This window comes from Homo sapiens, chromosome 21, assembly GCF_000001405.40.
Source record: "Homo sapiens chromosome 21, GRCh38.p14 Primary Assembly".
Lineage (NCBI taxonomy): Eukaryota > Metazoa > Chordata > Mammalia > Primates > Hominidae > Homo > Homo sapiens.
This window is the reverse complement of record NC_000021.9, coordinates 20,741,895-20,768,717: the sequence shown is the minus strand read 5'-3', so window position 1 is coordinate 20,768,717 and position 26,823 is coordinate 20,741,895. Positions and strand designations below refer to the sequence as shown.

Below are 26,823 nucleotides of genomic sequence, written 5' to 3'. Positions count from 1 at the left end.
GCCAACTCTGGAAACCTAAGCACTAGACTGTTTCAGATCTTTCTTCTGTGAAATAGCTACGGTTCCCAAGATACCTATTTTAAAAGCAAACACCATTTTGTAGGGAAAGAGAAGTCTCCCTGATTCACTCACAGTAAGAAAATTTGTATGAATTTTATTTCTACTATCTTGTATTCTTTCATAAAATTCCTGTGGATATATATATAGTCAGATATTCTATGATATCGATCATTGTTGTTAAATTTTTAAAGACAGTATCTTCTACTCTTGCAAATGAGTAGCATTTCAAGAAACACACATTTTCATTAGACGGGGAATCTTAATCTGGAGTCTCAAGTCATTCAAGAGTTTTATGAATTACATAATTCTATTATATATTAAAAATAGTTTTATGAATACAATATAGGCATATCTTGTTTTAATGAACTTAGCCTTATTACCCTTTGAAGTTATTGTGGGATTTTTTCTTTCCTCTTTCTTTTTTTTTTCCTTGAAAATTGAAGGATTGTGGGAACTCTATATTGAGCTAGTCTGTTGGTGACATTTTTCCTATGGCGTATGCTCACTTCATGTCTCTGTGCCACATTTTGATAATTCCTGTAATAGTTCAAACATTTTCATTATGAAAATCACCTGTTATGATAAACTATGATCAGCAAACTTTGATGCTTTATTATAATTTGGGAGGGAGGAGGCTCCACAGACTGTGCCTATATAATATGGCACATTTAATCGATAAATGTGTGAGTTCTGCCTGCTCTACTAACTGTCATATCCTCCATCACTCTCCTTCTCTTCAAACTACTCTATTCCCTGAGGCACACAACAATATTAAAATTGGGTCAATTGATAACCATACCATGGCCTCGAAGTGTTCAAGTGAAAGGCAAGGACACACCTCTCACTTTAAATAAAAAACTAGAAATGATTATAAAGCTTAGTGAGGAAGGCATGTCTAAAGCCAAGATAGACTGAAAGCTAAGGCTCTTGTGTGAAACAGCCAATTTGTAAATGCAAAGGAAAAGTCCTTGAAGAAAATTAGAAGTGCTATTTCACTAACATGTAAATGATCAAAAAAGCAAAACAGCCTTATTGCTGATATTGAGAAAGTTTTAGTGGTCTGGATAAAAGATCAGACAAATCACAGCATTCCTTTAAGCTAAAGCCTAATCCAGAGCAAGGCCCTAACTCTTTTCAGTTTTGTGAAGGCTGCGAGAGGCAAGAAAGCTGCAGAAAAAAAAAGCTGGAAGCCAGCAAAGATCAGTTAATGAGGTTTAAGAAAATAAGTTGTCTACATATCATAAAAGGGCAAGATGAAACAGCAAGTGCTGATGTGGAAATTGTAGAAAGTTATTACAAATATTTAGTAAGATAATTGATAAAAAGTGACTATTCTAAACAACATATTTTCAATGTAGATGAAAATAGTCTTCTATTAGAAGAGGACGCTATCTAAGACTTTCATAGCTACAGAAGAGAATTCAATGCCTGGCTTCAAAGAATAGACTGATTCTCTTGGTGGGGATTAATGCAACTGCTGACTTTAAGTTGAAGCTAATGCTCATTGACCTTTCCAATAATCCTAGGGACCTTCAGAATTATGCTAAATTTACATATCCTGTGTTCTAGAAATGAAACAAAGGCTGAATGACAGTACATCTGTTTACAACATGCTTTACTGAATGTTTTAAGTCCACAGTTGAAACCTACTGTTCAGAAAAAAGATTCCTTTCAAAATTATACAGCTCATTGACAATGTCCCTGGTCACCCAAGAGCTCTAATGGAAATGTACAAGGAGATTGTTGTTTTTATACCTGCTAACACAACATCCATTCTGCAGCCCATGACCAAGGAGTAATTTCTCTGTTCAAGTCTTATTTTGTAAGACTATAGCTGCCATAGATTGTGATTCCTCTGATGGATTGTGGAAAAGTAAATTGAAAACCTCCTGGAAAATATTCACCATTCTAGACACCATTAAGAACATTAGTGATTCATGGGAGATAGATTCATATTGATATTTTCAGGAGTTTGGATGGAGTTGATCACAACCCTCTTGGATGACTTTGAGGGCTTCAAAACTTCAGTAGAGGGATTAACAGCAGATGTGGTAGAAATAGCAAAAGAACTAGAATTGACAGTGTAGCCTGAAGATGTGAAGGAATTGCTGCAATCTCATTCTAAAACTTGAACACATGAGGAATTGCTTCTTATGGATGAGCAAAGAAAGTGGTTTCTTGAGACAGAATCTATTCCTGGTGAAGACGCTGTGAACATTGTTAAAATGACAACAAAGGATTAAGAATAGTCCATAATGTAGTTGATAAAGCAGAGGCAGGATTTGCAAAGATTGATTCCAATTTTGAAAGTTCTTCCATGGGTAAAATGCTATCAAACAGTATTGTGTGCCACAGACAAATCTTTCCTAAAAGGAAGAGTCAATTGATCTGATAAACATCATTTTTGTGTTACTTTAAGAAATTGCCACAGCCACCCCTACCTTCAGCACATCACCCTGATCAGTCAGCAGCCATCTATGTTGACACACTCCATCAACAACAACAACAACTACAACAACAAAAGACTCATTGAAGGCTCACATGATTATTAAATAATTTGTATGAATAAAATATTCTAAATTAAGGTATATACATTTTTAGACATATGCCATCGTACACTTATTAGACTACTATATATTGTATACAGGAGTTCTATTTGCACCAGCAACCAAAAGATTTGTGTGATTTGCTTTAGTGAGATATTTGCTTTACCGAGATGGTCTGGCACTGAATCTGCAATATCTTCCAGGTACGCCTGAATGAGTTCATAAACTCAGATGGGAAAATAATAAAAACCTTATACATTTGCCTTCTCCAGTCTTCAACTGAAATTTAACATCTTTTTTATTTCAATCATAACTGAGGATAACAGATCACAGTGGTATTTGGAGTACTTTGTTACCAATGAAAATCATACATATTTTCCTTGCACTATCCCATTAGAGATATTGTATATTCATGTAATTACATTCATCACTACTTTGCAATCATGATTACTAGACTGCATCTTGCTAAAACATATTAATGTACTTAAGAGTGAGACACTCATATTAGTATAACAAAAAAATTTATAAATTATTTTGTGTCTTTATTTCAACATATTTGTAGGTTTTTTCTTAAGAGTTTATTATAAGGATGTAAAAATATTCTGAGAAGGGCATGAAAGCTGTCATACAACTGCCAAAAGAGTCCATACAAACAAACTCAAAGAACATGCAGCATAAAACTTTAGAAGTCTAAGCAGTCTTAGATTCTTGATATTCTTAAAAAATTACGATGATAACAAATATCTTCATTCATATGGTGCTTCTAATTTAAAAAGGCTTTTCATATGTTGTTGTTCATTCAACAAATATTCATTGAGCATCTGTCATATGCCTAGCATTATTCTAGTGACTAGAAAAAATGGAGTGAACAAAATCGACATAAATAGACAATATTTGCCTTTGCCATTATGGATTTTGTGTTTTAATACATGAGAAAAAAATAAGTAAAAAGTAAAAGCAAATAGTATAATAAAATTAAAGGAGTCATGACAATTGATTCTAACATATTATAAAGCTGCAATATTTAAGATAGCGTGGTATTGACAAAAAGATTGAAGCTTAAAATAATGGTATAAATAGAAATTCCAGAAATAGACCAGATATATTTAGTCAAATAATTTTCAATAAAGATGCAAAGGCAATTCAAATGGAAATACAATAGCCTTTTCAACAGGTGGTGCTGAGAAAATTTGATCTCAGTATGGAAAACTAAAAAGCATTGACTTGACCCGTGTCTTTTATCAATTTACTCAAAATGGATCACTAAATTCAGTGGGAAAGTTAAGGCTAACATTTCTAGAAGAAACCACAAGCCAAAATTTTGTGTGAACTTGCAAGCATATTGATATTTCATTGTAATTCCATATAGGTTAATGATATTGAACCTCTTTTTAAAAACTTGTTTGCAATTCATGTATCTTTTTCTGAAATCAATTCTCTGTTTAAATATTTTGCCCATTATTAATTGAACTACTTTTTGTCTTATTATTGACTTTTGAGAATATCTTATATATTTTGGTTAGAGGTTCATGTTGAAATTTGTTTTGTAAATAATTTACTCCAGTCAATGGCTTGTTACTTTATTTTTTAAGGGAGTCTTTGAAGAGATTACTCTTATTTATTATTTTTCAAAATTGTTTTGCCTATTATAATTCCTTTCTTTTTCTGGATAAAATTTAGAATCCATTTGTTGTTTTCTAAAAACAAAAGCCAAACAATTTTTTGTAATTTGATGGTATTTGGATTGAATGGATAGATAAGTTGTGGAAGAACTGCCATCTTAACAATATTGAATTTTCAAATCCACAAATATGTTTTATTTAAATATTCTTTAATTCTCTCATCAATGTTTTGCACTGTACAGTTTTGAATACAAGTGGTAAGAATGTATAGAATGATCATCTTTGTATTGTTTCTGATCTTTGTGTATAAGAATTCAGTCTTTCTTCATTACATATAATATTTGTACAATATGGTATTTGTATGTTTTTGGTAGATGGCATTAGTTTTTTTTATTAGGATAATTATGGCCTCATTAAATGAGGTGAATGGTATTTTCCTTGCTTGTATTTTCTAGAAAAGTTTTTGGAAAATTTATATTATTTTTTCTTTAAAATTTGGTGGCAAATGCTTTCACAGCATCTGAGCCTGAAGTTTTCTTTATAGAAAATATTTTAATAATTCAGTTTCTGTAATAGGCTTATGACTACTTAGTATACCTATTTCTTCTTGAGTGAGCGTTGGTAATTTTTGTCATTCAATAAATTTGCTGTTCCACCTCAGTTGTCAAGTTTAGGGGTATTAATTTTTTATCATAGTGTATTGTTATACTTCTAATGTGTCTTTATGATGTATAACAGTGGCCACTGTTTCATTCCTGGTATTGATGATTTATGTATTCTTTCTTTATTTTTTTCCCTCTAAGCTAGGGGATTATAAATTTTGTTGATCTTTTCAAATAACCAGATTTTACACAAAATTTTCTCTATCATTTTTCTTTTACAAAATTAATTTAGTTTATCTCTTTTCTTCATTGTTTGTATATTTTCACTTTATTCTAGTGAATTTTCTCTTCTTTTTAAAGTTTTTTAAGGTGAACATTTAAACCTCTATTTGAGAGGTTATCCTTCCTCTTTTCTATTGTAATCTTTTAAGGCTGTAAAATTTTCCCTAAACACTAAATTAATATTGTTTAATATGTTTTTATTCTCATTCAAATAAGTATTTATCAATTCCCCTGGTGTCTTTCTTTTTGACAAATCTGCCATTTAAAAACAAATTGTTCAGCTTCTAAATCTGAGGGGATTTTTTCAGATTTCTGCTATTGAATTCTGGTTAAATTCTTTTAAAGTTAGAACATCAATTGCTCTAATTTTAATTATTTTGACATTTTTGTGGTTTTGTTTGGTTGAGAAAGCCATCTATCTTTTAAATATGATCTGTATAGATAAAAATAATATATACTCTGATATTTTAGAATGAGTATGGTATAAATATTAATTAGGTCAATTGATTGAGAGCATTGTTCAGGTCTTCTATATTCTTACTGATGTTCTCTTTATTTGGTATACCAGTTACTAAGAGTGAAGTGTTCACGTTTTCAACAATAATTGTACATTTTTCTATTTCTAGTTTCAGTTCTATTCATTTATAAAGTTTAAACATTTTTATTTGTGAATTAACCTTTTTATTGTTATGTAATGTCACAATTCATTGCTAATAACATTCCTTGTTCTAATGTCAAGCTTGTCAGTTAAAAATTTGCCTCTATGGCATTCTTTTGTTTATTGTTTGCATGGTATTTATTTTTTTATCCTTGTACTTTTATCTTGTATATGTCTTTGTATTTAATATGGCTTTATCTGATTTGACCATCTATATTTTTAAATTGTTGTATTTAGACCATTTACATTTAATATAATTTTTGACATAGTTGAATTTAAATCCACCATCTTAGTAACTTCTTTCTATTCAATCTGTTTTTTTCCATCCCCTGACCTCCATTTAAAAATTTTTTCTCACTTGTGGATTAGTCGTGTGTTTGTTTATTTTTTATTAAATATTATTTACAATATTTCATTATTATTTGGACCCACACATTATCTTTGTAAAAACAATATTAATGGTTACCTTTGGATTTACAATATCATCTTTAATATTACAGGCTTTCTTCAAATAATATTATGTCATCTTACCTTTATTGTAAAACTTCACAGATTTCTATTTCCAATCCATTTATCCCAATTTTGTGCCATTATATTCACACATTTTAATTTTAACTATGTTATAAAGCCACATAAAACAATATCATTTTCCTTTAGAACATCAACTATATTTTAACAGGGTTTCTCAGTACCAATATTACTTACATTTTGGATCAGGTAATTCTTTGTTGTTGGGAGCTGTCCTGTGTTATAGTACTATATATAGTTTAGCAACATCTCTTGTCTCTACCCACTAGATTCTAGTAGCACCCCCTACTCTCCAACTTAAAAATAAAAAGTGTTTACAGAGATTTCCAAATGCGCTCTGAGGGGCAAAATTTTTCCTGCTTGAGGACCTCTGTTTTAGAGTCATTGAACATAAGAAAAACAAATATTTTTATATTTACTTTTATATTAGCGGTTTCCACAGAGTTTCATTTTTGTGTGTGTGTGTGAATGCGCTTTTATGGGGGGGGTCTGGTGTCCTGTTTTTCTCATCCATCCTTTCTCTTCTCTGTCAAATTGCATGCAGATTATATTGTGTGTTTTACGCTGTGTGTTTTTGTCCCACAGTTCTTTTATTTTAGATACTATATTTCTCATGTTTTGTTTGTGTAACGTATATTGCTTTGGCTTCCAATTAAGTAATTCTATTCTCAGTAGTGCTGATGTGTGTGTGTGTGTTTGTCAGTGTCTAGTGTCTGTGTTTTGCCTAGCATCCCCATTTCACCTTTTTAAATATCTTTTCTGTATCTTTTGAAATTCCCCATATATTTTTCCATGCTGCACTTGGTAGTTTACCATATTAATTATAGTTATTATAAATTGTCTCTCTGTGAATTCCAACATGGGGTCATTCCTGAGTCTGGTTCCAGTGATTGCTTTGTCTATTAGTAATCCTTTTTTCTTCCTTTTTTTGTGTTTTAATTATTGCTTATTTTGTTATTGAATGTTAAATATTATATGTGGAATAGTAGAAATTGACTTATGGGTTCAAAGAAAGCGTTAATTTTGTAGTGTATCTGGCCTTTAATTGTTTAAGTGGGAATGATGCTCTTTTCAGTTTTCTACATCATAGACAGATGTGGAACCAAAAAAACCATGTTGAGGAACACAGCAATGTGATCAGATTTACATTTATATTAAAAGATAACACTCCTCTACGGGAACTGTCAAGTGTAACCTGAGGACATCAGTCAGTAAGAAATTGTAATAGTTCAGGCAATAGTTGAGCATGTGAAAAGTTGTTAAATTCATGACATAATATGAAGAAAAAAACTAATAGGATTTTCTCATGGATTAATGTGTGTTGTGAAGGAAAGGAGTTAAAAACAAAATCCCAGGTAAATGTCCCAAGCAATTGATTAAATTGTGGTGGCCTTTACTGAGATGTAAGATACTGGATAAGGAGCAAGTACTTCCCAGGAGCAAAGAGAGAGGAAGAGTGGATCATTCATTCATTTATACACCAAATAATTGTTACAATTTTATTGTATTTGAAATCCTAGGGGCCCTCTAAGTGTATAAGAAATATCATTCTTATCCTTGAATCACAAGGGATGTAAAGCTATAAGCAAGAAATAACAATTTAGTCTGATAAATTAAAGGACAAATGAGATTCAGTATATTATGAAAACACTCCAGAGGAATGCCAATCTTACATGACTCAAAATATTTTCCCTATAAAGTGTGAGGATTATAACTAAAAACACGAAATTAAAATGCTCACTCAAGGATTTAAAAGTTAAAATATGAAACAAAAATTAAGGATGACATTTCCTTACTTTATGTTTTAAATACCTCCTATTGTCTAGGATTTATGTATCTTAGTGTTAACACACAAGTCTCTTCTTATATACTTCAAGTCTCTAAAATTTTTATCCTTTCTCTCTTCTACGCTTTTTCATGTGATTTCTCCTCTGGCAGAAGTGACTTCCCCTCCCACATCCCCAATGTGAGGTACCATCTGGTAAAATCCTACTCAACCTTAAATAATCAACTCAATTATGACCTCCTCACAGAAGCTTTCTTGCAACACTGCAGAAAGAGTTGGCACACTCTCCCTGTCTGAAATTATTTTCTGTAGCCGTTTTTTTCTTTATATTTTACTTGTTCACTTAATTGTCTCTACTTTAGACTCATATCCTCTGATTTTTAAATTCATAGCAGAGTGTTCAGCCCAGATAGATCAGATTATAAATATTTCTAAAGTGAATAAAGGCATAAATGAACACATCTATTTCTAAAACAAATGAATTTTTGAACTATTCATTAGAGAAAACACATCGACTCCTAAGCATTTTCTTATTCTTATAAATGAATTATCTCTGACTACAGCTAGTCCTAGATTACTTAGGATGTAAAGAGACTACCACAAAAGTATTGTCATTGACATGCTTGACACAATCAAGGTCGCTTTAAGGAAATTCTACAATGCTGCTGTATGAATGTGCTTGTGTCTGTTGCCAGAAACGAAGGTGAAATATTGGCAAGCAGGGAAAATATGTTTGGGAGAGAAGGACAGAAAATAGGGAACATGAAAATAAGACTCTAGATTTTCTGAGGGAAGAAAGACATCTTGATCATTTTTTCTGTCACCAGTATCTGACAGAAGAAATAGTTAAAGATAAATGGTACAAAGATGGCACTATTGACTTTCATATCTCTTAGTACTTCCAAAGCAAAATACTGTCTTTCCACTATCTATCAAACTATAAAATTGTTTTTATTTTTATATTTATTCTATGTCATCAGGATAATAAGCTATATTCTTCTTATATAGGCAGGATGTTAGCTACACATGTAATAAGAGTTCAGGTCACTTTTGTATTAATAGCAATAATACATTTACCTATTAGCATGTCATAGACATTCAATTATGCACTGTTAATAAGATTAGACTTGCCTGTATTAGTTGAATATGAGAAATGTATCATATTCTCATACTACCTAGTTCACAGTATCTAAATAAAATGTTATTAAAGAAAATCTTATGCCATTTTAACGTGCAAAAATTGTGCCATAAAATCCTTTAAACAAGATTCCACAGGAAATTTAAACCATTGAATGAAGGCTTACTTGTGTGTTTGTGTGTGTGAGAGAGTGAGTGTGTGTGTGTATATGTGCACTTGAGGCAGTTCCAATATCCCCCATGAATGTATCTGTATACATTTGTGTATTCATATATATACACATAAGATACATATGTATAGAAAATTATGCATACTATCACAGATACATTCTTGCACAATAAAAAGATTCAAAGTTCAAATATAATTTCCTAAAATAGTTCCAGAGATACTTATCAACGTTTAAATAATTGTTAAATCAAATCAAGCAGAAGGGTCGCAGAAAGCCTGCCAGACTTTCTTTTGTCATCTCCCTGGTAGTCATCAAGCTGAAGAGGAAGACGTTCCCCTCAATTACTGGGACAACTGTAGTTGCTATATCCCCCTAAAGAATTTTGACTTCTCCTTTGAAAAACGGCTGCTTTAAGCTTATTTTTTAACATGCATCTTAAAAATTAATTTTTAAGGCAGGGCACGGTGGCTCACGCCTGTAATCCCAGCACTTTGGGAGGCTGAGGCAGGCAGATCACAAGGTCAGGAGTTCGAGACCAGCCCGCCCAACATGGTGAAACCCTGTCTTTACTAAAAAATACAAAAAATTAGCGGGGCATCGTGGCGGGCACCTGTAGTCTCAGCTACTCAGGAGTCTGAGGCAGAAGAATAGCTTGAACCTGGGAGGTGGAGGTTGCAATGAGCCAAGATCACGCCACTGTACTCCAGCATGGGCAACAGAGGTAGACTTCATCTCAAAAAAAAAAAAATTGTAAAAATAGGAATTACAAAGTACTACGTTAATTACCTTGCAGATTATAATTTTATATAGGTGCAATTTTAAACATAGGGGCCAATTATACCATATGAACCCTTCCATCTCAATCAAACAAAATAGAAACTTTACAAATTTTTACAGGCCAAGTAAAAATTATTGCTATGTTCAAAAATATATTTATTTTATTTCCTGAGTCCCCTATAAAGTTTTCTGCCCATATCTGTTATTTTCAGTGCTAAGAAAGATTGAGCTCTTCCAGAAATTTCAGTAATTTGATTTGCTTTGATTCCTTGTGAAAAGAATTCTATGGTTTGTGTACGAGAGAGAGAGAAAGAGAGGATGAGTATGGGATGGGAGCACAGATCAAGAAACCATTTATTACAGACAAACTTTTAAAGTTTATTACACGTTTTCAAGTTCTGCAAAGTATCCACACTTGCCAAATTCCTCATAATTGATAATTTTTAACTTGACAGTAGGGGCAGACTATTTTACTCCGTGTGTGTGTGTGTGTGTGTGTGTGTGTGTGTGTATGTGTGTGTACTTCTCTCTGTCTGTCTCTCACTCTTTCTGTGTGTCTCTCTCTTTGTGTGTGTACTAAAATGGGACAGTTTTCCCTGGTTAAAAAGAAAGAGCACAAAATGACTATTAGCTGTATAATTCATGTAACTATATCATAATTTCTTGTCTTGTCAGAATTGTCATTACCTTTGAATTTGGGAATGGATAAAAATATTAAAAACATTAGCAAGCATTAACACATTTTGTAAAATAAAATTCCATCAGATACTCACTATTTAAAAAGAGTTGTTGGCTCTCTCCCATTTAGCTGTGCATGTGTGTTATTTGTTTACATGCCTCTTATACATTATTTTTACTGTAGCTATAGTTTTTTCTTTCTTTTTATGATATTGACCTATAATTTAGCACTATCTAGATATGAGAGAAAAAAATGTGCAATTGAAGGATTATGTATGTGTTTATTGAAAATCATCATCATCAACAACAAAATCTTTTTCAGGGAAATATGGTTTCCACAGGGCATTAACCTTGTTCAAGGTGTTATGTCGCATGATAAATTTTGTCCATTTGCTGAACTGAACTGCTATTGAAATACCATTTTCATGATTCTCAATTTTTCAAATTTATGCAGGTGCTGTACTGCATGAGAATGCCTGCATTTAGTATGCGAACTGGAATTGGCAAAGGACGATGGCTGCTCTCCCGCTAACTTTAAATAAGTCATGTCACAAATTGCATGTAAGACTTATAAAATATTAACGTTGGGAGACACTGAAACAAATCAGTATTTCTATTAACCTGCGAAAAGATCTTCCAAATATATAACCAAAGTAACTAAAACAAATACTAAAAAGAGTTTACTTTTAAAACTAGGTTTATGAAATATTTTCCCCAAGTTTGCATGATTATTAGAAAAGTGGCTTAAAGAGTAAAGAAAAACTGGAATCTTGTTGACCCCAAGTACTCCTCTAACCCTTTTGCTCTGCTGTTACAATGGACCAGTAAATCTTCAAACATAACACCTCTTAAATTAAAAACAGAAATGGTGTAGATTGCACACATTACAACATTTTTTTAGGCTTACTTCTTTTTTTCAATATTAAAGCTTATTTTTCACACATTACTTAATGTTGCCTGTTAAAAAGTGGTGCTTATATTTGTGTAGCTATCTGTTTGATGGTGGTTTAGTTTAGGAAATAAATCACACAGTGACAATTGGTTGTTTTTTTTGTTTGTTTGTTGATTGGTTTTCTGTACTAGAAAGGATGCATAGTCAAGCAAAGGTGGATAATTATAAACAGCCTAACAGTATCTAGACTCAGTCTGCTTTCTTTGCAATTAGTAGACAAGAGGGAAAAGATTAAAGATATAGTGAACTCTATAACTCTGTTTTATTGACTCCATGGAAATTCAGACACACATGCTTGAGAGAGAGCAAGTGAACTAGAAAGACTTTGTTTAGTGTCAGCTTTTAATTTAAACTGTATTCAAGTTGGCTTATTAACAGTCTAGGTTTTATAAAAATAGAGAGGAAGATAAATGATATGTAATAGAATGAACAATGTAAACACCTTTTTTCAAAAATGGATTTATTGATAACTTCCTATATTCTTCATATTAGGGTAGATATTATAGTAGATAGAAAAGCAAGATACAGTCTCCATCTTTGAAGTGAAATATAATCTTGCCAGGGAGATAAGCAGTCTTTACAGGTGCTAAATTGAGCAGATATATTATGTGAGAATTTTGAAAGTAAGCCTAGAACTCGGAACTTGATTCTAAGTGCAAGGAATAGCCACCAACTTTTATGAACACGATTTTGATATTGATATTGATATGACTGACGTGTTTTCAGGAAAGGTATCTATCAACATTGATTTCCAAAAGTAAAGGCCATTTTGTAGTTGATATTTTACTGAAATATTCTAGTACAACTGATACTGCCAGTCACTTCTTTGAAATTCTCTTCTCCTTGACTTTGGTGCCCAAGATTCTGTTGATTCTTCTCAAATTACTGTTATTTCTTATTATCTTTATGTGCTTCTCTTTTTCTTTAAAATGTTGATATTTCTTTGAAATATTTCTTTGCATTGTTGGTACTTCATAGCATCCCACCATCAGTTAAAGTCTCTTCTTATTTGACCTGCTTCCCACAAATGAAACAATAAATTTATCTTTACTCCAATGCCAGCTAAGTGCTGATGACTCTCAACTATGTCCTGGCTTCTCTCATTTAAGCTTAGACCCATATATTAAACTGTTCATATACATCTTCACCTAGATGTCATAAAAACGTTACTATGTCCAATAGTTGATTCCTTCCTCCCCAGACAGTGGGCATTCACTGTGTGTTGTATACCCAACACCAGTTTGTCTTTCTTGATGGCTGCTTGGTTTTATTTTGGAAAAATCTCTCTCTCTCATTTGAATGCATTTTTGTCAGTTCAGGAGCTCTGCCCTCTCACTGCAGATGCCAAAGGAGTGTTTAGAGAATGTAAAAGGCTATTTTTGCAGGTATTTTAATTTACCATATTGTGGTCTAAGGGTGAGCATGTTTCTGAAACAGACAACTGGATTCTCTCTCCATCATTCTGGATATTGTAATACAAGGACCAAAAACTTGAAGTCCACTTATTTCAACGATGGCATCCCGCTTGCGTGGTTGAGCAGTTCTTGTTGCTTCGGTTTCTTTTCTGGATGCTGTCCTATTTTCATGGCTACTATTCTAACTATGCCCCATCTGATATCTTCCTGTGTTAGTTATTTGTTGATATAAAGCAAATTACCTCAAAATGAAACAACTCAAAATGACCACGTTGATTGTTTCTTACAGTGTCCGTAGCTCAGGGATTTGGGAGTGGTTTAACTGGGTGCCTCCAGCTCTAGTTTTCTAATGAGATTGCAATCATGCTGTTGGTGGGGCTGCAGCTATTGCCAGCCCCAGCTGGGGCAGGTGAGCTCACTCATGTGGCTGTTGGCAGACCTCAGAAAGTTTGTTTCCAAATTTGCTATGTGGGCCTCTCTACAAGGTTTTCTTACAGCATGGCAGCTGGGTTTTACGAGGGTTGGTGATCTAAGAGGGAAAGAGAGAACATCCATGATTAAAACCACAGCATTCTTGTTAACCTAATCCCTGAGGTAATATCCCATCACTTCAGCTTATTCTATTCATTAGAAGTAAGTCAATAAATTCAGCCCACAGTCAGTGGAAGGGAATTATACAAGGCTGTGAATCCTAGGGGATTCACATGATTGGAAAACATCTTAGAGGCTGCCTACTATTCCCAACAAGTTTCCTTTCTACCTAAGATAGCCAACATTGTCTTCTATTGATTGCAGTCTTACAACTCTAATGGATAAACTACGTAAGCAGTACCCTTTTGTTCTGTATTCCTATGTGGTTTTTTGCCATTATGATCTTCCACCCAAAGTCCAAATCTCGGAGTAATGTTTATCACCTCGCCCTCCCTAACTCCCCACATCAAATATCTTTCTACATTCCAATCCTTCAGTTTCTAAAACCACTTCAGTTGAGAGGAATCTTCATGACTGCACTCTTCTATCTTATTATCTGAATCTTTTTCCTCTAGAATTTATGCTTCTGTTCCTGCTTTTAATTTCCTGAACATTTTCCATGTATATAATTATTTCTTGTTGTTCCTATGGCTCTTTCAGCCTGAGACACCTTTTCCTTCATCTCTCCAGTCCCACATTACACTTCTCCTAGTGTGTTCTTTTAGGGCCAGCTTAGTCATTACCTTACCTAGAAAACCGCCTCTGATTTCCCAAGTCTGAGTAGTGTATTTTCATTGTGGACTCACAGTGTTATCTGAATCTTTGTTATTGCACTTCACACATTATTATACTACCTGATATGTGTCTATCTTCCCTGTAAGACTGTGAAATTGTGGGTTAAAACTTTACTTTTGTGTTTATTTTTTGATCTTCATGTCTTGTACATACCTCTTGTATTATGATTTGTATTATAATTCTCAAAATATAATAGATAAGCTGCAAACAAAGTTTATATCAACATCCTACATGACTCAATAAAGATAGTTATATTTGCTCATAACAAAAATTAAATAGCATGAGAATCTATGTGGAGAGTAAGTCGTTGAAAGTAACACTGTTAAAGTTAGGGCACACATTGAATTGGAAATTCAGGAATTCAGTAGTATACTAGGAAAATAATGGAGAATTAAAGCAATTAGATAACTATTTTATCATAATTGCAAATCCTTTTCAATTATATATGCAGTTTATTATATGAAATGGTTTTATATAAATTACCATAAGAGTAAATTTAGAGCTAGTGAAAACCTGAAGATTAGTAGAGGCTTGCAGGGCACAATGAAGACTTTGCAATTTTTGATGATTAGAGATTACATGAACTTAATGTGTAAGGTTGTTTCCAAAACTCAAATATTAGAAATGATTGATATCCACATGCCATACATACAAAGTAGAGCCAGAGGACTTAGTGATATTAAGAGATGTGTGTCGTCACTAGTGATGATGACATAAAGTATGACTTCCAAGTGATACAAAGGCCATGAGGCTTGCCTTTTCCTTTCTCCTTTACTTGAAACACCTTACCTTGACTGTCTACATTTGCTTTTTTCCACTAAGAAATTAGGTTCTTACTCTCAGCTAAAATATAACACACTAGAAAAACATTAGGAGATATACCTAATGTAAATGACGAGTTAACGGGTGCAGCACACCAACATGGCACATGTATACATATGTAACAAACCTGCACATTGTGCACATGTACCCTAGAACTTAAAGTATAATTAAAAAAAAGAAAAAAAATAAAATTATACTTTAATTGAATAATTCTCTAAAGGCTAGCTTTCCATCTAGATTTTTTGAGCAGCAAGTTTTATGCTTTGTAGTGTTTGCCTAAATATGTTTTTCTCCTGAGTTAAACAAAGTTTATATTAACATCTCAAAATAAAATTTATCCAATTAGAGTAGACAATTTCATTGGCATACGTATTTAGACTTATTCACCTCTTTTCAAAACCTTATCTGCACGTTAAAATTACCTTTTACCTGGCCCTTTTTTAATTTGTAAAATATAAATGTATCTCTACTGATTATCTTGTCAGTAGATTCTTTAAACATCTTTTATGAATGTAATATTGAAGCATATAAAAATTTTAAATTTAATATTTAAAATATTTATGCTTATATAATATTCATTTTATTACAAATGAAAACAACTTTTTAGACATTAAAAAATTTCAACAGATATTTCCCATCAGAGAATATTTATCAATAAAAAAGAAAAAATCATGTTCATGCTTCATTTATTTTTAATCAGATTTCAATATTTGAGTCTTATTATGAAGATTCCACTTTGTGATTCTTCATATTTGTACATTTTAATCAAATATACATTGTTCACTTTGACAATGTAATATCATTTACTTATAGAATAAATTTATACTTCTCAGTCCCTACTTATTGTCATCACTTGAAACATTGGCTATTTTTACTGGAGAATGTAGCATAAAAATGGACAACACTTTTATTCTTAGAATTTCCTATTTTATCTTTGGAAACTGATAATGTTATTCAACCATGCTTCCAGATTTTTATACTATTTGGCATATTCTTTCCAGAGTTATAAAAATCTGCTCTTTGCATAATAAGACTTCCTTTAATATCCACTTAAAAACCCACAGAGATCATATTCTTTAGATAGGTGAGTAATTCAGGGTAATTTATAGCTTCAGAACATGCAGCACACTTACTTTTTTTGGTGTTAACTGATTTCTATATATTCCACCTAATGGCCTGCTCTTGTTCAGCCATCTTTAATATCTTTCTGATTTGATATTTGTTCCAACCATCTAGTTCTCGGGAGTTTCCCCACAGAGCTGTAAACTGAACTATTTTCAACATCTTTATTCAAATTTCGATGCTAAAATTTAAAGTGTATAAAAATCATGTTGAGAATCTTTCCTGTTTTAAGTAAGACATTGTGAAAATAATAAAAATATATTTTACATAAATTTTACCCTTTATACTTGTGAAGCTCTTTATAATTTATGTAATTATTCATTTATTTATATCTTTTGAGACAATCTGCTCTATTGCCCAGGCTGGAGTGCGGTGGCACAATCATAGCTCATTGCAGCTTCAGCCTCCTGGGAGACCCTCTCCCACTGAGTTTCCTGAGTAGCTGGGCCCACAGACATGAGCCATGATGCCTGGTTACTTTTTTTTTTTTTTTTTTTTTTTGGTAGAGCTAGGTTATCCTTATGTTGCCCAGGCTGGCCTCAAACTACTGGGCTCAAAGGATCCTCCCTCCTGGGCTTCCCAAAGTGTTTGGATTACAAGTGTGATCCACTTCGCCCAGCCATGAGTCTCTTTAGATCCAATGGATAAAGATATTCAATTTTGGTAGAATTGCTTAAAGCAAATAATGTGAGACACATTTCTGAAAATTTCTCTCATATCTAGATGAGAATATGCTTTAATATAAAAAAACAAATTTCTTGACTATGTTTGAAACTTTAAATAGAGCATGTAAGACACTTGCTCATCTGTTTCCTGAAAACCTTTCCCTCTTCACCTTCTCCTCTTTACTTTTTGATTTTTACATTCCAAAATTCTAAGCATTCAGGGTTGTTCAACACACCGTGTACTTTTGTGTCTCCGTATATTTTACTATTCAGATCCAGGTGACTTTCTCAACCAGCGTCCCCTCTCTTTTTAAGTATTGTTAATACTTATAAGATGTAATTTTGAATGGATCTTTCCAGTTGCTTTGGCTTTTTCAACTAGAATTCAAGAATGAAGAAAAAGAGACACTCAATATTTTATATTCCAAAGACATGACCAAGAAACTATAAAAATTATAAGCATAATTGTGTCTGAGAATTTATTAACAGATGGCCACGCTGGTTCTGGTATTCCATAACCATCACCCCGGGTCCGCACCTATCTATCTCCATCTATATAGCCTTTAGGGAAAAGTAAATGAAGAATTATGTTGCTTTGGGATTTCTGAGATGTTTTATTTTCCATTTCCCAAACCAAGGAAGAGGGCAATCTCTTGATTTTGAAGTAAGTGTGTGTGTGTGTGCGTGTGTGTGTGTGTGTGTGTGTGTGTGTATGTAGGGTAGCAGAACAGAATAGATGATCACTTGAGAAACTCTTAAGACTTGAAAATGAGCCACTAAAATGTATTCCGCTGAGGCTGGAATATCATTTGAGCCCTGAGCAACATAGCAAGACTTTCTCTCTTAAAACAAAAAAGGATCCTGAGCCTCTAAGATGGAGGAAAATATGTTCATATTGAGTTAGAGTTTAATAACTGGTGCGATCTGAGCATCCTCAAGCTCTGTGCCTTCTGGGTCACCATTTAACATTGAAATAACATAATTTCCTTAATTTTATCCCTTGTCTCACCTCATTGCAGAGATCCCTGCTCTGTCCTGAGTTCCCCTGAGCATTCTTATGGCCCTGACTGCCACACTTTGTGTATATATAATACATATTATATACACACGAACTCTTCAATATCAAGAGATTATATACATATGTATATTTATATGTGTTTAACTTTTATTAAAAGGTCAGGGGTATTAGTGCAGGTTTGTTACATAGGTAAATTTCTGTAATGGGGGCTGGTTGTACAGATTGTTTCATCACCCATGTATTAGGCCTCATACCCATCAGTTGTTTTTCCTGACCCTCTTCCTTCAACCCTCCACCTTCCAAAACGCCCCAGTGTGTGTTGTTGTTCTCTTGTATGTGTCCATGTGTTCTCATCATTTAGCTCCCACTTACATGTGAGAACATACAGTATTTGGTTTTCTGTTCCTGCGTGTGTTTGCTCAGGATAACGGCCTCCAGCTCCATCCATGTCCCTGCAAAGGACATGATCTCATTCTTTTTGATGGCTGCATTGTATACAGGTAGAGGACACTGAGATCTTGATCTCTGGCAAGGAGTTTGCTAAATTGTGGAATTAGCAATATAACCAGGCTGGGGACAGTATGGGTAGAATATTCATAGGAAAAGTTGACATGTATCACCTGTTTGTTGGGGAAAACTGTGAGCACAGAGCCTGGTTCTTTCTTTGCTGGAAATATTTGAGGGTGAAATGCTGGTTTAAGCAGCCCATGTCTCCAGAATGAGAAGGGATAGTCGTATGCTTGAAAAGGAGGAGAGAATACCTTCAAACCCAGAGTTATCAACAGCCTTCAAAAACCAATAGAGGATGTAAAAAGCCCTTATAAATTCCTTAATCACAAACAAAAAAACTCAAGACTATTTTCCCTGCAGATGTATTATTGTTCATATGTCTTTTATTGAAAATATGGCAGAACATTTCAAAATGTATTTCTGTGAATGTATTCTTCACATTCCTGAATACATTAAAAATGTATTCAGTTAATCTATTCAAATTACATAGTTAACAAATATACTAAAATATATTCTTATATTCCAATGCTGTATTTATTGGGTACATTTATTTATTGAGTTTGATACTTATGAGGGATATATTATTTGTATATAGTCTTTTTCTCTTAATGCAGGAACTGAGAGATAGGATAGAGATATATTAACAATACTTAAAATGCTGTTATATAAAAAAGAGAGAACTGGATACTGGAAGTTAACAGAGAAAAGTTTGTCCTAGAACCAAATCATGCCCTCCCCACCCCTCATCCACCACTCTAACAATCTGTAGTTCAAAACCTAGTGAAAACCCAGCTACCTTTCCTCATCCACTTCACATTCCCAAGTACGAGCCTACTGAGGGAAGGGTAGGAGACAGGATTTGAGAAGGGTTGAGGTTAGTATTTTCATCCAGGCTGGGCAGAATCCTTAGAATATCAAAGTGAATGAAAAGTAATGGTAGCATCCTAAGATATCATTAAGGAATCGGCTTCCCATTAGGAAAGGAAAATGTAAAACTGTACATTCTAGGGCAGTAAAAAGAGATAAATCAAACTATTTTGCATGTGTACATTCCACACTTGAGCTTGTTTAATAGCCATTCAGATCCCACATCACTGCTTTGGGAAAAGAGATTTTTGGGCAACTTGTTCTCATCTAGTCTAAAGAGCCATGAACTTCAGAAAGTGACAGAATGTAACATTCATCTGTTTCCTAGTTTGGGGGCATAGATATATTATTCCTTTTCTTAGGGTTTTAGCTAAATAAGAAAACTGGATCATTAATACCATCCTAGCAAGATGCATTTGGCACATGGTTGGGATCTCAAATCTATTTTTTCCTCTTAGAACAAAACTTTCCTGACAGACTTACTTTCTGGTAATCAGATTTTTTCTCTTTATTAACTTCCATTGTTTTTTTACTCGTTATTTCAACTAGTGCCATTATAAGGCTGTATTGTAAGAAATTGTAATCACAACATTTTTCCTACTACTTTGTCATCCCTTTGACTTTAGGCAGATAATAATGGTGGGATCTTCACTTGCCAGCACTATTCCTGCCATTTCAAGTCTGCAACAATATTATCTGCTTGCTATGCTCTAGGTTTTTGTGATGCAGATAGAAAATTGAAAAGTATCTCTTACAAAGGAGAATACAGCAAAGACAGAAAAATAAACAGGAAATTTCTATAGAATAAATGTATGCTTAAAGAGTATGACTGTTCAGGAAAAAAAGGCTTGCTTAGAGAAGTGGTGGTAACCCCATTTCAATGGGCAGTATGCATATTCTTTTGTTTTCATGTAGAACTAATGCATCTCGATCTGAATGTAAGTAGAGATTAGGTAGTTGAAGGAATAAAAGTACATTGTAGGTCAGGGGTTGGGACTTTTTCTATAATAGGCCTAATAGCAAATATTTTAGGCATTGAAGGCCATGTGTTGGTCTTTACATTTTTCAACCTTACTCTTGTAGTGCAAAAATAGACATTAACAACATATGTGGCAATAAGTGTAACTGTGTTCTAACAAAATCACACAGGCAGAGGACTGACTCTTGTTGTAGGCAAATATATTAACATGAAAGGGTAGATAAATATGGTTCGCAGAGAGATCTCTTTGTATCACCTAGTTTAACTCTCATCACTCTCAAACTTCCACTTTACAAATTATTAACAGCTAATTATTTGGTTATCATTGTGCCAACATTGATAACCATATTAATAACCATTGCTAAGAAAATTAACCCTAACCCTATTAATAACCACTTCTTTGGTTATTAATAATGTGTAAAGTGGCAGTTTGAGAGTGATGAGAGTTACACTAGGTGATACAAAGAGATGGAAGAATGAAAAACTTTGTCACTATTAGCAGATTGACTGTTGTCAGTAAAGTCAGAGTGAGGAAGGATGGCTAAAGGGTTATAGTGATGATATTAGAAGCAGAATTGCCTAGGAGACTATTGAAAGGAATAGCTTCTAAGCTTATGCTATATAATAATAGAGAAAGGAGTAGGGTAGGCTGAAAATTCAAGTGGAAAAAACTTTCTTCAGCTGGCCAGATGCAGTGGCTCACGTCTGTAATTGCAGCACTTTGGAAGCCTGAGGTGGGCAGATCACAAGGTCAGGAGTTCAAGACCAGCCTGGCCAACATAGTGAAACCCTGTGTCTACTAAAAATACAAAAAAAAAAAAAAAATTAGCCACGCGTGACGGCGGGTGCCTATAATCCCAGTTACTCAGGAGGCTGAGGCAGGAGAATCGCTTGAACCCAGGAGGCGGAGGTTGCAGTGATCGGAGATCGCACCACTGCAACCCAGCCTGGGCGACAGTGTGAGATTCCATCTCAAAGAAAAAAAAAAGAAAAGTTTCTCCGACTAAGCCTTTCCACTGATGAACTATCATAATATGTGCCAGGGTGACAATTAGGCATTTAAATCAGGGTTATGGCATATATCCTTTTAGGTGTATCCTTTTAGGTGTATATCCTTTTAGGTGTATATATATCCTTTTAGGTGTATCATCCTTTTAGGTGTATCATCTTTTAGGTGTATCATATATCCTTTTAGGTGTATCATTCTTGAGGCTTGATGGAAATATATCCTTTTTGGCGTAGCATCCTTTTAGGTGCATCACCTATATCCTTTTAGGTGTATATATCCTTTTAGGTGTATCATCCTTGAGGCTTGATGGAAATATATCCTTTTTGGTGTATCATCCTTTTAGGTGTATCACCTATATCCTTTTAGGTGTATATATCCTTTTAGGTATATCATCCTTGAGGCTTGATGGAAATTTATTTAAGGGGGCCAAATGGAGAAAGAACAATTATGAGGTTGTCCAAGTGAAAGCTGATGAGAGATTGTTATAGGACAGCATTGATGACGATCATGAAGGCAGGCAAATATTTTAGAGATAAATTTTGTTGAATTGGTCATGGATAATTATCAAGAGAAATTGAAACAAGGTTGCATAATCTTAGTATGCTAACTTAAGCTCATTTTTGGATATTCGAGAGGTAAAAAATATCAAAAATAGAGAAAATTGGGTATATGTGTGTACAGGAAACTTAATTAATTGTTAAAAATATCAATATTTTAAATATTAATTAGATAAATAGAACACAGATGAATGATAATAAAATTAATGTCTCTCAATAGGAAAAGCGTAATTGATCATTTTCTGGTGGAATTTAATGCCTTGTTTTCTAAAGATTAAGATTGGTGACAGGCTGTGTTTATATGGCATTTGTCTTTTTTTTCTGAAGAAATTACACTTTACTTGAAATGTCAGTGTTATCAGTCTCTTTCCTTGCAAAGATAAATGTTGCATCACATCTAAATTACGATATTTTTATCCTTCTCATTAAGGGAAAAAGAGAGAAAGAGAAAGCAATATAGAAGAATGAGTCAAAAGAGTTGGATGAATGACTTTATACTCCCATGTAGCTAATTGTAAATTTTCAAGGGCAAAAAATTGACAATGACTTTAATAAGTCTTGTGGCTTTGTACATATATATTTTGACATATGCCTCTAGGTCGGTGCCGCAAACACATTTGGTTTCTTCCTTTCTGGGCAGCACAGTGCTATTCATCATGAAGTATGACAAGAGTGATTGGTAGAGGGTCTTCCAAAGTATTTAGAGCCATCACTGAGGGAAGAATAAGAAAGAAATGCCATTTATAAGATCCAAAGAAGAACAAAGTCCCCATTAAGAACTGAGATGTGAACATCACTTAACGGTGTCTCCTAGCTAGTCTCATGTGTCACTTGAAACTTATTGAAACTTCAAGCACAGAGTGCAATAGGGTGAGATTAAAGGTCGAAAACTTTACATTTCCTTTCTGGAATGAGTTTCCAGAAAGAATAGCTAAACTTATGATTCATCTTGGTATTTTATTTGTAGTTGTTATTTTGAGGGAATACATATCATGTAGGTCTCTACATTGTACTTACTATTTGGGGCATTGTGTCGCTATTTATAATTTACAAAGTGTTTTGAAAGCAAGATCTAGATGAGGAATAGTTTTAAAGTCATAGGACAGTGTCAGGAATCAGTTTGCATAAACTTCATCTTCCCCAACATATCACCAATCATCGAAAGCAGAAAGCAAAGTCGGAAAATTTCCTCATGTCATGTTAAGGAAATTATTGGTTTTGAATTTTTGCTTTTGAATCATTGCTTTTGAATTTTTCAGAATCTAAATAGTAGGGCATTTGCCACTTCCTCTAATATATTTGTCTCAAAGATGAAAAAACAATTCTGATCCATAGTAGTGAAGTCATTTAAATAACAAGGTTGTTTCTAATTGTATTATATACTTATTTACATTCCAAGTTTATTTCCCCAAATTTGAAAGTGACATATAATTACACATAATTTTAAAACTTTTGAAAAATTTAATAACATGTTAACTGAAAGATGTAGAAAGTAAATCTAATATAGATTAAAAAATACAAATCTGGAGAAACATAATCAGTTACAAGAGAAGTAAAGAAAGTACACGGCACAGAATTAAGCCTGTGATTTAAACTAGCTGCAAAGTCAGGATCCAAATTCCTGTTATGCAACAAATCAGCTGTAAACTTGAGAAAAATATTTTTTCTTTCTCTGCCCTATGTCATTCATTTGTAAAATCATCTATCTGCCAGGAGTGTAGTAAAGATTAAATTAATTATGAGATATAAATTACTTAGAAAAACACATAACACATATTAAATAATGATTAAAGGTTATCTGTTTTCAATTATTAGTTATTAATATTCCATTCTTGTAAAAAGAAATTTGATAATAACTTATTTTCTGTATTTTATTCATGGTTTTTCATGTCTATTTCCATGACGTACAAGTTTAATATAGCTTATAAAAGTGACTCAGTTATACACAGATATTAAATTTCAAATGAAATGCTCTAATATAAAAAACATTCTGTTTCAGAAAGAAATTAAGTTACACTGTTTTCATGTAAATGTTCATGTAGTGATTGATACTTCTATTCAAAATAAAATGAAGAGTTGACATAATTCCTCAGCTAATATAGTCTCAAATCTTTATACTGAAAGTGAAATCGTTATACTGCATGTAACATTTGTTCTGGCTGGAAGTTGTCTAGAGTTATAGTAATCACAATGCAAAAAAAGGAAATACATATTTAAGTATCTAGAGAAGTATTTAGGCATATAGATATCTTTAGTTATGTACATGCTTAGAAGATCGTGTTCCCAATTCAAGTTTAGTATATATACATACTTTATATATATATATAAAATATATATATAAAATATATCTATGTATGTATTTTTTTACACGTGAATGTATGTATATACATAAAGCTAAGTATATATGTATATTTATTATATATATAGTAGATATATACCCCAACTATGCTTCAGTATTTAGAGATAATGCAACAGAAAATTACTGAAAACAACCTTTATTTTTAAGAACAGGAGAATATAATGTTTCCCAAATTAAGAGGAGAGCATTTGTTTGTTTCAACACTGAGGTACCTATGGCAGCTGTGTTACTCTTGCTACATTTCAAATTCCTTGGGTAGGATGACACCATTGTAGTTTACTGGATTCTTTCTTCTCTGTTTTGGTTTGTGTGCTTGGTTTTTTTGGAGAGTGACTGGATGTGTCTCCTGGTATATAAGCCAACGTAAACAGAACTTTCAATAGCTCATGCTTAATAAAGACAGAATGGATGCGATCATTCTGTTCAAATTAAGGTATCCTATATGCCTATGGGTTAGATTAAAGGGCATTACTCTGATATTAACCTTGTTTTTTCAGTCGTTCCCAGATTTCCTAAACTTTCCAGAGAAAATGGTCTTCTCCCTGGCTCAGCAAGAAGATGAACTTTAAACACTGAGAAACTGGTCATCTCCCTGGCTCAACCAGAAGATGAACTTTAAACACTACTCTCAATGACTTGATGTTCCCATCACTACTCCTGTCATAAAGGGAGGGGACTCAGATATTGAGAATTTTATGATAGTGTGAACTGTCTGGTATGTCATTTAAGTAAGCCCGTTGCTGAAATATTTTCCATGTTATTAGAAAGAGCTGAAGAGAGGGATTGAGATGGCTTCTTTATTTTTTGTCTTTTGGGAATTAAAGGAACCTGGTTCAACAAGGGCCTACACCTAAGTCTCTTGTTGTACCAGAGTACAATTTAGGACTGCTCCTGAGGAAGGAATTAGCTAGAAATCTAGAGAGTAAGGGTAACAGATTTACATAGAATAACAGCCTCAGTATTTTTGGTTCCTCTCCAGTAAAGATCACAAAGAATATTGCTAAATCGCTAAAACACCTTTGCAATAACGTAAGGGCTTACAACTATATACCAATGTAGCTCAGTTACTAAACTGGAGTAAACTAATTTCTCTTGTGTAGAAAAATTGGTTGGCTGTGGTTTTATAGCAGATCTGCAATTATTAATAGTTATGCCAATAATCGTTTAACAGTGCATATGTTAATATATATGGAAAGACAATGTGTATAGACAGATGTGTAAAATTGAAAAATAAACATATAACAAGAGAGAAACATCTATCGAACAGACAATATACATACACATCAAACACAACAGCAGTTTTAGTGACCATAATATTTATTTCTCATTTTTACATTGCTTACTTTAGTGACAACTGAAAATGACAGTTGGCAATGCAGCTAACAGTTTCAATAAAAGTATAAAACAAAAGACTGTGTACAAAGCACCTGTCTTTCCGCTTTTGTAATCTTCCGTTGGAAAAAATTTACACACCTAAGTAACCATCTGTTTTCTTCAAGAAAAAATCATTCTTATTTCTCTCTCTCATCTTGAAAACAGCTGTCAGCCAGGAGGGCAGAGCTGAAATTTATTGCCACATCACATGAAGCATAGAACAGACTCCACTACTCCTTGAGATTCAAAACTTTGCCTCTCACAAAGTTACCTTTTATTTTCCTCTTGTTTGTCACTCATCTCCCCTAGTGTGCTCTTTTTATTTCTTTTACTATTAATAATAAAATCTGTGGATGACTGTATTATTGAATGATTACCTTAGTACAATAATTCAAGAAGTATTTGAATATTGCATCATTGGCTTTAGAAAACAAGTATTTATAGGCCATTTCAACTTCATATATATATATATTATATATATATATATATATAATATATATATTTAATTGTCACAAATTGAACATACCCACAAAACTAGCATCCAAATCAAGAATGCAAATACTGCCAACATTCCAGAAGTTTCTATAATACTTCATTCAGATCACTACCTGCCTGCTCAAAAGATAACCATTACAGCCAGGCGTGGTGGCTCACACCTGTAATCCCAGCACTTTGGGAGGCTGAGGCAGGTGGATCAGCTGAAATCAGGAGTTTGAGACCAGCCTGGCCAACATGGTGAAACCCCATCTCTACTAAACATGGAAAAAAAAAAATTTAGCCGGGCGTGGTGGCGCACGCCTGTAATCCCAGCTACTCTGGAGGCTGAGGTGGGAGAACTGCTTGAACCTGGGAGGCAGAGGCTGTAGTGAGCCGAGATTGTGCCACTGCACTCCAGCCTAGGCGACACAGCAAGACCTGGTTTCAAAAAAACAAACAAACAAACAAACAAAAAAACTATTACTCTGAATTTTTGCCTTTTTTACCTTCTGTAGTTTATTTTTTTCTTAGCCCTGATTCAATTATATCAGGCATTGTTAAAATTGAATTAAAATCTGAACACAG

At 33.4% G+C, this 26,823-nt stretch overlaps 1 long non-coding RNA gene across 4 annotated transcripts in view; it reads left to right on the top strand.

Moving 5' to 3' along the window:
• The window catches only part of LINC00320 (long intergenic non-protein coding RNA 320), a 60,519-nt gene extending 34,391 nt beyond the window's left edge, over window positions 1–26,128 (top strand). For 3 of the 4 annotated variants that reach the window (NR_109787.1, NR_024090.2, NR_109788.1), the window contains one exon: window positions 24,885–26,128. This is a non-coding gene — a long non-coding RNA (long intergenic non-protein coding RNA 320). Of the gene's footprint in view, window positions 1–11,300; window positions 11,408–24,884 lie in introns of all 4 variants that reach the window. The other variant, NR_109786.1, reaches the window with a different exon arrangement.
• The last annotated feature ends 695 nt before the right edge of the window (window positions 26,129–26,823 follow it).